Source organism: Homo sapiens, chromosome 15 (assembly GCF_000001405.40).
Source record: "Homo sapiens chromosome 15, GRCh38.p14 Primary Assembly".
In the NCBI taxonomy this organism is placed as follows: Eukaryota; Metazoa; Chordata; class Mammalia; order Primates; family Hominidae; genus Homo; species Homo sapiens.
Window position 1 is genome coordinate 51,968,320 of NC_000015.10, and position 12,134 is coordinate 51,980,453.

The following is a 12,134-nucleotide window of genomic DNA, read 5'->3' on the forward strand; positions in this document are numbered from 1 at the left end:
ATCACCTGAGGTCAGGAGTTCCAGACCAGCCTGACCAACATGGTGAAACCCTGTCTACTAAAAATACAAAAATTAGCTGGGCATGGGGGCACACGCCTGTAATCCCAGCTACTGGGAATAATGAGGCATAAGAATCCCTTAAACCTAGGAAGCGGAGGTTGCAGTGAGCCGAGATCGTGCCACTGCATGAAAGGGGAGACTCTGTCTCCAAAAAAAAAAAGTAAGTGAAGGCCAGGCGCAGTGGCTCACGCCTGTAATCCCAGCACTTTGGGAGGCTGAGGTGGGTGGATCACGAGGTCAGGAGTTTGAGAACAGCCTGGCCAATATGGTGAAACCCCATCTCTACTAAAAATACAAAAATTAGCCAGGCGTGGTGGTGCATGCCTGTAGTCCCAGCTACTTGGGAGGCTGAAGCAGAATAATCACTTGAACCCAGAAGGCGGAGGTTGCTGTAAGCCGAGATTGCGCCACTGCACTCCAGCCTGGGCGACAGAGCAAGACTCCGTCTCAAAAAAAAAAAGGAAAGTGAAAAAACAACCTACAGAATGGAAGAAAATATTTGCAAACCATGTATCTGATAAGTGTCTTTATCCAAAATATACAAAGAACATTTATAACTCAACAATAAAACCAATTTCTTTGTGTTTTTTGTTCGTTTGTTTTCTTGGAGACAGAGTCTCGCTCTATCCTTCAGGCTGGAGTACAGTGGTGCAATCTTGGCTCACTGCAACCTCTGCCTCCCTCAAGCGATTCTCCTACCTCAGCCTCCCAAGTTTATGGGCGCACGCCACCACACCTGGCTAATTTTTTTGTATTTTTAGTAGAGATAGGGTTTCACCATGTTGGCCAGGCTGGTCTCGAACTCCTGACCTCAGGTGATCCACCCACCTCAGCCCCCTAAAGTGCTGGGATTACAGGCGTGAGCCACTGTGCCTGGCCTAAAACCAATTTTTTTAAAACAGAGGACTTGAATAGACATTTCTCCAAACAAAGTTACACAAATGGCCAATAAATACATGAAAAGATGTTCAACGGCTGGGCGCAGTGGCTCACACCTGTAATCCCAGCACTGTGAGAGGCCGAGGCAGGCAGATCACCTGAGGTCAGGAGTTTGAGACCAGCCTGGCCAAAATGGCAAAACCTCATGTCTACTAAAAATACAAAAATTAGCAGGGTGTGGTGGCAGGCGCCTGTAATCCCAGCTATTCGGGAGGATAAGGGAGGAGAATCACTTGAACCCAGGAGGCAAAGGCAGGAGAATCGCTTGAACCTAGCACTTTGAGAGGCCGAGGCAGGTGGATCACCTGAGGTCAGGAGTTTGGAACCAGCCTGGCCAACATGACAAAACCTCATCTCTACTTAAAATACAAAAATTAGTAGGGTATGGTGGCAGGTGCCTGTAATCACAGCTACTCGGGAGGTTAAGGCAGGAGAATTGCTTGAACCCGGAGGCGGAGGTTGCAGTGAGCCAAGATTGTACCACTGCACTGCAGCCTGGGAGACAGACTGAGACTCCGTTAAAAAAAAAAAAAAAAAAAAAAAAGATGTTCAGCATCATTAGCCTTTGGGAAAGTGTAAACTGAAACCACAATGAGACACCACTTGATAACATCAAGGATGGCTACTTTAGAAACAAATAAAAACTTAAAATAACTGTTGGCAAAGATGTGGGGAAAGGGAACCCTGGTGCATTGCTGGTGGTAATGTAAAATGGCTCAACCACTATGGAAAACAGTTTGGCTGCTCCTCAAAATATTAAAGAATTACCATATGACTCTGCACTCCTACATAATACCCTCCTCCCAAAATTAAAAACAGGCACCCAAACATGTACATGAATTTATTTATTTTTTTGGAGACAGAGTCTCACTTTATCACCCAGGTTGAAGTGAAGTGATGCAATCTCAGCTCACTGCCAACCTCTGTCTCCTGGGTTCAAGTGATTCTCATGCCTCAGCCTTCTGAGTACCTGGGACTACAGGCACGCACGACCACACCTGGCTAACAGTTTGTATTTTTAGTAGAGACAGGGTTTCACCATGTTGCCCAGGCTGGTCTTCAACTCCTGAGCTCAGGCAAATCCGCCTGCCGGAACCAGGAATGTTTACAGTAGCACTATTCAAACAACCCAATGTCCATCAACAGATAAATGGATTAACAAATTTAGGGTGTGCACATTCAATGGAATATTATTAAATCATTAAAAATGAATAAAGTACTGATATGTGCTACAATGCCTTGAAGACATTATGCTAAGTAAAAGAAACCAGACACAAAAGACCACAATGCATGATTCAATTTATATGAAATTCCCAGAACAGATAAGTACAGAAACAATAGCAGACAGGGGTTGGAGGAAGGAGCATATGAGGAGTAAGTGCTTTATGAACAGTGTTTTATTTGGGGGTGATGAAAATAACAACTAGATATATGTTGTCTACAAGAGACTCACTTTACTTGGAGCCTAGAGGGTTGCAAGAATTCTGAACTTGGTCTTGGGTTCTCACTTCAAATAGCTCCTATTCATATTTCAAGTGCCCGTAGTCTCAACTACTTGGAGGCTGAGGCAGAAGGATGGCTTGAGCCCAGAAGTTCAAGGCCAACCTGAGCAACACAGTGAGACCCTGTCTCTAAAAAAGTAAACTTTAAAAAAACACCCACAATCCTGTGCCAGAAATAACTTCCAAGCAGCATGCACATACACTAATTCATTCATTTCATCAACAAATCCTTCATTCCTCCTCTCTGTACACAGACCCCATGCACTCCCCAATCTAACATCACAGACTCCGGAAATTCTGGAGTTTCTGCACAAGCTCTTAGAGAACACATTCTCTCCTATGTGAAACATCTATCTGTAACCCCATCCCATTATCCGTCCCAGACTCGTCATCCAGACATCTCAAGCTCCCTATCACACCATGCTCTGGTTTCATTCAAGACGGCATTCTGAGGCCCTCTGTAAATTCGCCCACCCCATCCCATATTCCTGCATTCATTTCCATTCATTCAAAAACAGCCCTTACTCTACGCTGGCCTGTGCAAGGCAAGGCGGAACAGGACTCCAACGTTCCTACCCGCGCTGCGCAGGCTCGCCTGCACTTCCACCCATGCCCCGCGCCCCTTTCGCTCCACAAGCTCCCAGGAACCGTCTGCTCCACCGACACCCAGAGCCTCGAGGCGCAGACTGTCTGACTCTCCATCCTGCCCGCCGGAGGAGGATGGCACCTCCGGGAGTGCAGGGGGCGCTGAGGCAGGAGTGGAGGAAACGCCACCTCTTGCCCGCGGCGCTGGAGCCTCCACGGTTGTCCGGCTCCCACAGCGGAAGGCCTGCCACGCACCCATCCTCCGAAGACCAGCGAACCCACCTTTACGCTCAGCTTCGCTGTCGGCGTCGCTCCCGAAGAGATCCTCCATATCCGCCATTATCGCTCACGTCCGCTGCTGCCTCGGTTAGGGGCAGCTCCCGGCCTCTCTTTACGGCACGGAACCACTGAAACACGACAGTGTCGCAAAGATTCGCCGAAGACACTCCTTTCCTTACGTGACCTAGTTTTCGCTCGCCCAGTGAACCTGTTCTCGCCTGGGTATGCATGGTATATAAGCCCGGCCATTTCGTCAATATCTGTTATTTGCCAGGATTCTTACCAGGGGGCGGGGGGGTCCTGCGTTCGGTTGCGGGTGTGGATGGGGTGGGCGGTGACTGGCGCTCTCTGGGGAAGGGCCTCTGGCTGGATTAAACCTATCGCGAGTCAGGATTGAAGCCCTTTGTTTCTTACTGAGCAGCTGTTCTCCAGTTATTTCATCCCAAACCCCTTTACCCTCTTAAAAATTGTTGAGACGGAGTCTCGCTCAGTCGCCCAGGCTGGAGTGCAGTGGCGCGATCTCGGCTCACAGCAACCTCCACTGTCCGGGTTCAAGCAATTCTAATTCCTCAGCCTCCCGAGTAGCTGGGACGACAGGCGCCCGCCACCACACCCGGCTAATTTTTTGTATTTTAGTAGACACGGGGTTTCACCGTGTTGCCCAGGCTGGTCGCAAACTCAGGAGCTCAGGCAATCCGCCCGCCTCGGCCTCCCAAAGTGCTGGGATTACAGGTACGGGTATTGATATTTACTGTATTCTTACTAATACGGTAATAAATTTTTAAGTTACTAATTCATTTAAAAATAATATACATGTTAACAAACAGCTTTTTTAAGCTTTAAATGACCATTTTTTTGGCCGGGCGCGGTCGCTCACGCCTGTAATCCCAGCACTTTGGGAGGCCGAGGCGGGTGGATCACGAGGTCAGGAGATCGAGACCATCCTGGCTAACACGGTGAAACCCCGTCTCTACTAAAATAAAAAAAATTAGCCGGGCGTGGTTGTGGGCGCCTGTCGTCCCAGCTACTAGGGAGGATGAGGCAGGAGAATGGCGTGAACCCAGGAGGCGGAGCTTGCAGTGAGCCGAGATCGCGCCACTGCACTCCAGCCTGGGCACGAGACTCCATCTCAAAAAAATAATAATAATAAAATAAAATAATTAAAAATAAAAACATTAGCCAGGCATGATGGCATGCATTTGTAGCCCTAGCTACTCAGGAAACTGAGAATGGAGGATCACTTGAGCCCAGGAGTTGGAGGCTGCAGTGAGCTATGATCACGCCACTTCACTCTAGCCTGAGTGACAGAGTAAGGCTCTGTTTCTTAGAAGAAAAAGTGAGAAAAGAGTACATCCTGTGTTACATTACCTAATTAGGCCATTATGAGAGTTTTGGTCTTGGACAAGCAACAATGAATATTTAGTTTGGAGATTATATGATATATATTTTTGTAGTAAACTTCAGTGCTTAACAGGGTCCAAATGGGTGGGACTGGGTATGTAATCATCAATCCTAGAGCTTTTGTGTATGAAGCGGATGTTGCAAGAGAAGATACATAGATAACCTGAAAACTATCTGGAATACTGGAAAAACAAGTATTCCATTTGACAGTGATTCAGTTTCATTTTCATTTAGAGTACTGTCCCTGAAAAGTACTTTGATTAAATTTATTTTCTTTTGATACAGTGTCTCTGTTGCCTAGGCTGGAGCGCAGTGGCGCCATCATAGCTCACTGCAGCCTCAAACTCCTGGCCTCAAGAGGTCCTCCTGCCTCGGCCTCCTAACACGTTGGGATTACAAGTATGGGCCACAGTGCCTGGCTAAATCTTAATAAATTGAATTACAGTTTGGTCTGGTGAGTCACCATGTCCATATTCCTGGCTATCAGAATAAACGTGTTTTTCCCATATGAATAGTATAAAACAAATCACTTCTGACTCTTGGACAGATTTTTTTGTTTATGTTTTGGCTACACTTTTTTTTTTTAAACAGAGTTTCGCTCTTGTTGCCCAGGCTGGAGTACAATGGCGTGATCTCAGCTCACTGCAACCTCCACCTCCCGGGTTCGAGTGATTCTCCTGCCTCAGCCTTCTGAGTAGCTGGGATTACAGGCATGCGCCACCATATCCGGTTAATTTTGTATTTTTAGTAGAGATGGGATTTCATCATGTTAGTCAGGCTGGTCTCAAACTCCTGACCTCAGGTGATCCACCCGCCTTGGCCTCCCAAAGTGATGGAATTACAGGCCTGAGCCACCGTGCCCAGCCTTGTTTTGGTTACACTTTATGCTGACCATTGCTCTTCTACTCATTATCTTTCTTCATAAAGGATATAATACATGAGATTGGACTTAAGGTAAATCAATCACAATCATTTTGCAGTATTTCTTACCTGAGGTTATCACTTTGATTGAAGTTTATTTTATTTTTAATACTTTTTTAAAAACTTAAAAAAATATATAGAAACAAGGTCTCACTATGTTGCCTAGACTGGTCTTGAATTCCTGGCCTCAAGTGATCCTCGTGTCTTGGCCTCCAAAAGTGTTGGAATTACAGGTGTAAGCCACTACACCCAGTTTGATTAAAGTTTACAGTGCTAAATAACTTCATTTACCCCCAGAGATGGAGAATTTAATCCTATTTGGTTTGTGTTCAACTAATTTAACTTTGAATGTTAAGATGATCTTGACAGGCCGGGCACGGTGGCTCACCCCTGTAATCCCAGCACTTTGGGAGGCCGAGGCAGGTGGATCACAAGGTCAGGAGATCGAGACCATCCTGGCTAACACAGTGACCCCGTCTCTACTAAAAATATTTAAAAAAAAGTTAGCAGGGCATGGTGACGGGCACCTGTAGTCCCAGCTACTGGGGAGGCTGAGGCAGGAGAATGGCATGAACCCAGGAGGCGGAGCTTGCAGTGAGCTGAGATCACGCCACTGCACCCGAGCCTGGGAGACAGAGCGAGACTCCGTCTCAAAAAAAAAAAAAAAAAAAAAAAGATGATCTTGACATTTGTTCCTAGGAATGGAGAATTTCTTTTTTCCCCCCCCGCAAGACAGAGTCTTGCTCTGTCACCCAGGCTGGAGTGCCGTGGCATGACCTTGGCTCACTGCAACCTCCGCCTCCCGGCTTCAAGTGATTCTCCTGTCTCAGCCTCCCAAGTAGCTGGGACTATAGGCATGCACCACCATGCCCAGCTAATTTTTGTATTTTTAGTAAAGACAGGGTTTCACCATGTTGGCCAGGCTGGTCTTGAATTCCTGACCTCAGGTGATCCATCCACCTCAACCTCCCAAATGCTGGGATTACTGGCGTCAGCCACCGCACCAGGCCTGAGAATTTCATCTATTAGGTGTGTGATTAAATAAAACAACTTCAGAGTGGCTTTATCTTCGTTCTTTCAGTTTTTGAAAGAACGTTCTGCTTTCATAAGGTGAAGCTAGATCCTCAGAATAATATCTTTTTAGATACCATAGAACCCGAAGAACAAAGATTCAATGAGGTTGAGTACATAACACAATACAATTAATGTATCATCACAAACATTTTTACAAGGTAATCAAAAAAATACTCAACAGGCCGGGCGCGGTGGCTCACGCCTGTAATCCCAGCACTTTGGGAGGCCAAGGCAGGTGGATCACGAGGTCAAGAGATCAAGACCATCCTGGCCAACATGGTGAAACCTCGTCTCTACTAAGAATACAAAAATTAGCTGGGTGGGGTGGCATGCACCTGTAGTCCCAGCTACTCAGGAGGCTGAGGCAGGAGAATCGCTTGAATCCGGGAGGCGGAGGTTGCAGTGAGCCAAGATCGCGCCACTGCACTCAAGCCTGGAGACAGAGCAAGACTCCGTCTAAAAAAAAAAAGTATAAAATATATACTTACACCAAATCACACAAAAAGGAATATATGTTTTTAAATTTGTGTAACACCTTAACGACTTAGAGGAAAAATAACAGATTGATTAAACAGAATATATTCACTGAAAATTCACTCCATTTATGGTAAACTGCCACTCCACAGGAGGATCATGTGGCTTTTCTGAGCACTTTGTGGAAGGAGTTGGCCTTTAGAAGGGAACAGGCTGATCTGAATTAAAGAGAGCAAGAGAGGAACCTTGTAGTTTCTCTCTATAGCAGTAAGTAAATACTCAGCTGATTTCTTGGAAGACACATGATATTCACTAACAGTCTGCCTTTACTGGATTCCTTACTGAATTACTGAATTAGGGTCCCACAATGGGTGCTATAGGGATATAAAAATAATGACAAACATATTTCTTCATATAAAAGAGTTTGGGGGGCTGGACACGGTGGCTCACGCCTGTAATCCCAGCACTTTGGGAGGCCGAGGCGGGCGGATCACGAGGTCAGGAAAGCAAGACCATCCTGGCTAACACGGTGAAACCCCATCTGTACTAAAAATATAAAAAATTTGCCGGGCGTGGTGGCACATGCCTGTAGTCCCAGCTACTCGGGAGGCTGAGGCAGAAGAATCGCTTGAACCCGGGAGGCAGAGGTTGCAGTGAGCTGAGATCGTGCCACTGCACTCCAGCCTGGGTGACAAAGCGAGACTCCCATCTCAAAAAAAAAAAAAAAAAAAAGAAGTTAATTATAAACTATGTAGAGGTACTAAAAATTGAAAGCCAGAAAATGATCAGTGAAGATGGGGGTTAGTCAGGAAAGGTTTCTTAGGAAGATTCAAACTATATTAATGAAGTGACCAGAGGGAACGCAGTTATTGAGACATAAAATTGAGCAGAACGTAAAACTCAAACAAGAACATTGACCAGCTTATCAAATTCATTCCCTGATTCACTATAAAATTTCAGAACACTGGGGATTAAAAAAAAAATTCTAAAAGTTTCTAGAGAGAAAAATCTGCTGGCATATGAAGAATCTGGAATTAAAATGTTGTCAGATTTCTAAACAATTCTGAGAGTTAGAACTATGTGGAATTGTCTTTAAAATCCTGAAGGAGGCCGGGTGTGGTGGCTCACACCTATAATCTCAGCACGTTGGGAGGCCGAGGCAGGCGGATCATGAAGTCAGGAGTTCAAGACCAGCCTGACCAAAATGGTGAAACCCCATCTCTACTAAAAATACAAAAATTAGCCGGGCTTGGCGGTCGCACTCCTGTAATCTCAGCTACTCAGGAAGCTGAAGCAGGAGAATCGCTTCAACCCGGGAGGCGGAGGATGCAGGAGCCTAGATTAAGCCACTGCTCTCCAGCCTGGGAGATAGAGCAAGACTCTGTCTCAAAAAAATAAATTAATAAAATAAAATTCTGAAGGAAAATTATCCATCCTAGAATTATTATTATTATTTTTGGGGGAAGGGGGATGGAGTCTCTCTCTGTTGCCCAGGCTGGAGTGCAGTGGTACGATCTTGGCTCACTGCAACCTCTGCCTCCCAGGTTCTACAATTCTCCTGCCTCAGCCTCCCGAGTAGCTGGGATTACAGGTGCACACCACCACGCCCGGCTAATTTTTTGTATTTTGGTAGAGACGGGATTTCACCATATTGTCCAGGCTGGTCTCGAGCTCCTGAGCTCAGGCAATCCATCCACCTTGGCCTCACTAAGTGCTAGGATTACAGACGTGAGCCACTGCGCCCGGCCGATCCATCTTAGAATTCTGTACTCACCAAACTATCATTAAATAAAGGAAAGAGTAATGGTATCCGAAGGAAACTAGCCTCTATGTATGCAGTGCAACTACCCTGAGGCTCCATGCTGTGAAAAAGCCCAAAGGAGGCCACACAGGGAGACCAAATGAAGAGAGATGCCAGGCCAACCCCCATCTGTTATCGCCCTCCTACAGTTCCTACTCCAGCCTCCATTTATTTTGTTGTTGTTGTTTTGTTTTGTTTGAGACAAAGTCTCCCTCTGTCACCCAGGCTGGAGGTCAAGTGGTGTGATTACAGCTCACTGCAGCCTTGAACTCCTGGGCTCAACTGATCCTCCCACCTCGGCCTCCTGAGTAGCCGGGATTACAGGCATGTGCCACTGTACCTGGCTAACTTTTTATTTTTTTGTAGAGACAGGGTCTCACTATGTTGCTCAGAATGACTTCGAACTCCTGGCCTCAAGCGATCCTCCCACCTTGGCCTCCTAAAGTACTGGGATTATAGGAACAAGACACCATACCTGGCCCCAGCCACCATTTGGATGCCACCTCAGTGAAGGAGCCCAGGCCACAAGTGCCCAGCTGAGCCTTTCCTCAATTGTCTCAGAGTAACCAGGAGACCATAAATGGGTGCTGTGGCATAGTACACTAAGTTTTGAGGTATTTTGTTATGCAGCCTTAGCAACTGGTAAGGTTGCTCAAATATTTTACAGTCTATGAATTGTCCACCAAAATGAGGTGGTCCACTAAACCAAGGAAGAGAAAAGCTGTTGAGATAGGAAAACCAACAATGGAAAGAAGCAAAAGGAATTACTGATGACAGTTTAATTTTTTTTTTTTTGTAACAGAGTCCTGCTCTGTCGCCCAAGCTGGAGTACAGTGGTGTAATCTCAGCTCACTGCAGCCTCCGTCTCCTGGGTTCAAGTGATTCTCCTGCCTCAGCCTCCCGACTAGCTGGGCTTAGAGGCACACACCACCATACCCAGCTAATTTTTTGTATTTTTAGTAGAGACAGGGTTTTGGGATGTTGGCCAGGCTGGTCTCAAACTCCTGACCTCAGGTGATCCACCGGCCTTGGCCTCCCAGTATGCTGGGATTCCAGGCGTGAGCCACCATGCCCAGATTTCAAAAAGGTAATACGGTATCTAAACTCTATTACCACACCCAGCAGGGGCTGACCAGCATCCTATAATCAAAATTAAATTTCTATAGTAAAATGTATGAAAATTCAAACTAAGAGTGATAAAGTTTAAATAGGTTTAGATCAGTTTGGGTCAGCATTTGCCACCAAAATGAGTTATGAAAGTACGCTCAATTTCAGAGATTTTTTGGGGGGATTACCTTATAACCCCATTAAAAAAACAAAACAAGAAAAAAACTTTTAAAAGAAAACAATTTCAGAGATTTTTGGATTTCAGAATTTTGAAAAAGGGATTGTGGACTAGAACTAACTTATTCCATTTTCACAACAACCCTATAACATAGATTACATTACATTCCTCCCATTTTACATGTCAAGAATTTGAAGGGGCCAAGCATGGTGGTTCACACCGATAACCCCAACACTTTGGGAGGCCAAGGTGGGCAGATCGTTTGAGTCCAGGAGTTCAAGACCAGCCTGGGCAACATAGTGAGACCTGGTCACAAAAAAATTAGCCAGGAATAGTGGCTCACCCCTGTAGTCCCAGCTACTTGGGAGGCTGAGGCATGAGGATCATTTGAGGCTGGGAAGTCAAGGCTGCAGTGAGCCATGATCATGCCACTGCACCCCAGCCGGGGTGACAGAGTGAGACCTTGAAAAAAAAAAGAGAGAAAGAAAGGAAGGAAGGGAGGGAGGGAGGGAAGGAAGAGAAGGAAGGAAAGGAAGGAAGGAAGGAGGGAAAAGAGAAAGAAGGAAAGAAGAAAGAAAAAAAGAGAAAGAAAAGGAAGGAAGGAAGGAAAGAAAGAGAAAGAAAGAAAGGGAGAAGGAAGAACAGAGAAGCTAAGAAACTTTGCCCTAAGCTACACAGCTAAGAAGACTTGCTCAGACATAATAACATAAACATATTTTCAGTTTAGTAGGATTATTTGACTTTTAAAACTTAACACCACACACTAATAATTTTAGTAAAGAATATTTTATTTCCAAGATACATGGTAAGGAGGAGGAAAAAACATTCTGAATAATATTTATATAAAGCTACCATTAAAATTTAAATATAGGCTGGGCATGGTGGCTCATGCCTGTAATCCTAGCACTTTGGGAGGCCAAGGTGGGCGGATTACTTGAGCTTAGGAGTTTGAGACCAACTTGGGAAATAAGGCGAAACCCCATCACTACGAAAAATACTAAAATTAACTGGATGTGGTGACATGTGCCTGTAGTCCCAGCTACTTGGAAGACTGAGATGGGAGGATCACTTGAGCCTGGGAGGTCGAGAGTATAATAAGGCAGAGATTGCGCCACTGCACTCCAGCCTGGGTGACAAAGTGAGACCCTGTCTCCAAAAAATAAAAGTAAAAAAATGTGAATATGTGTGTGTGTCTAGCATGTAAACAGAGAGACTGTTGCTGGAAGACTGCATCAGAAGCTGGACCCAGTGCTTGCCTCCAAGAGAAGGAGCTAGAAAACTGGAGGAGAGAAGAGAAACATTACTTTACACTCTGTACCTTTTGAATTTTGTACCAAATGAGCATATTCAAAATTAAAATTAGAAGTAGAAGGGCCGGGCGCGGTGGCTCACACCTGTAATCCCAGTGATTTGGGAGGCCAAGGTGGGCAGATCACCTGAGGTCAGGAATTCAAGGCTAACCTGGCCAACATGGTGAAACCCCATCTCTACTAAAAATACAAAAATTAGCCGGGCGTGGTGGCGGGCACCTGTAATCCCAGCTACTTGGGAGGCTGAGGCAGGAGAATCACTTGAACCTGGGAGGCAGATGTTGTGGTGAGCCGAGACCACTCCATTGCACTCCAGCCTGGGTGACAAGAACAAAACTGTCTTAAAAAAAAAAAAGAAAAAAAAATGTGGATACCAAAATGTCAGTAGTGTTTAGTTAACTCTGGATGCTGAGATTTTATTTTTTTGTTCATTTTAATATTTTCTAGGGTTTCCACAATGAACATGTATTTGTTTTAGAATAAGCAGGAAAAAACCTTTGTTT

At 45.4% G+C, this 12,134-nt stretch overlaps 2 protein-coding genes across 8 annotated transcripts in view, besides 4 other annotated features; one reads left to right on the forward strand and one right to left on the reverse strand.

Annotated features, from left to right (window-relative positions):
* The window catches only part of LEO1 (LEO1 component of Paf1/RNA polymerase II complex), a 33,754-nt gene extending 30,295 nt beyond the window's left edge, over window positions 1–3,459 (reverse strand). For all 6 annotated transcript variants that reach the window (NM_001286430.2, NM_001323904.2, NM_138792.4 and 3 more), the window contains exon 1: window positions 3,369–3,459. In NM_001286430.2, the coding sequence (NP_001273359.1) occupies window positions 3,369–3,426 (58 nt within the window). In that variant the 5' untranslated portion in view covers window positions 3,427–3,459. The remainder of the gene's footprint in view (window positions 1–3,368) is intronic.
* Window positions 2,576–3,152: an enhancer, noted in NCBI's record as "H3K27ac hESC enhancer chr15:52263092-52263668 (GRCh37/hg19 assembly coordinates)". NCBI's record gives its function as "activates a minimal SCP1, AML or CMV promoter by ChIP-STARR-seq in naive H9 embryonic stem cells {active_cell/tissue: H9 hESC(naive)}" and the evidence as "EXISTENCE:reporter gene assay evidence [ECO:0000049][PMID:30033119]".
* Window positions 2,576–3,728: a biological region, named in NCBI's record as "H3K27ac hESC enhancers GRCh37_chr15:52263092-52263668 and GRCh37_chr15:52263669-52264244".
* Window positions 2,976–3,505: an enhancer, noted in NCBI's record as "active region_9410". NCBI's record gives its function as "activates an Ori minimal core promoter by ATAC-STARR-seq in GM12878 lymphoblastoid cells {active_cell/tissue: GM12878}" and the evidence as "EXISTENCE:reporter gene assay evidence [ECO:0000049][PMID:35858748]".
* Window positions 3,153–3,728: an enhancer, noted in NCBI's record as "H3K27ac hESC enhancer chr15:52263669-52264244 (GRCh37/hg19 assembly coordinates)". NCBI's record gives its function as "activates a minimal SCP1, AML or CMV promoter by ChIP-STARR-seq in naive H9 embryonic stem cells {active_cell/tissue: H9 hESC(naive)}" and the evidence as "EXISTENCE:reporter gene assay evidence [ECO:0000049][PMID:30033119]".
* MAPK6 (mitogen-activated protein kinase 6) overlaps window positions 3,506–12,134 on the forward strand; it is a 95,551-nt gene continuing 86,922 nt past the window's right edge. Inside the window, exon 1 of one of the 2 annotated variants that reach the window (XM_047432852.1) lies at window positions 3,506–3,587. The gene's annotated coding sequence lies outside the window, so the exon portion shown is untranslated. The remainder of the gene's footprint in view (window positions 3,588–12,134) is intronic. The other variant, XM_047432853.1, reaches the window with a different exon arrangement.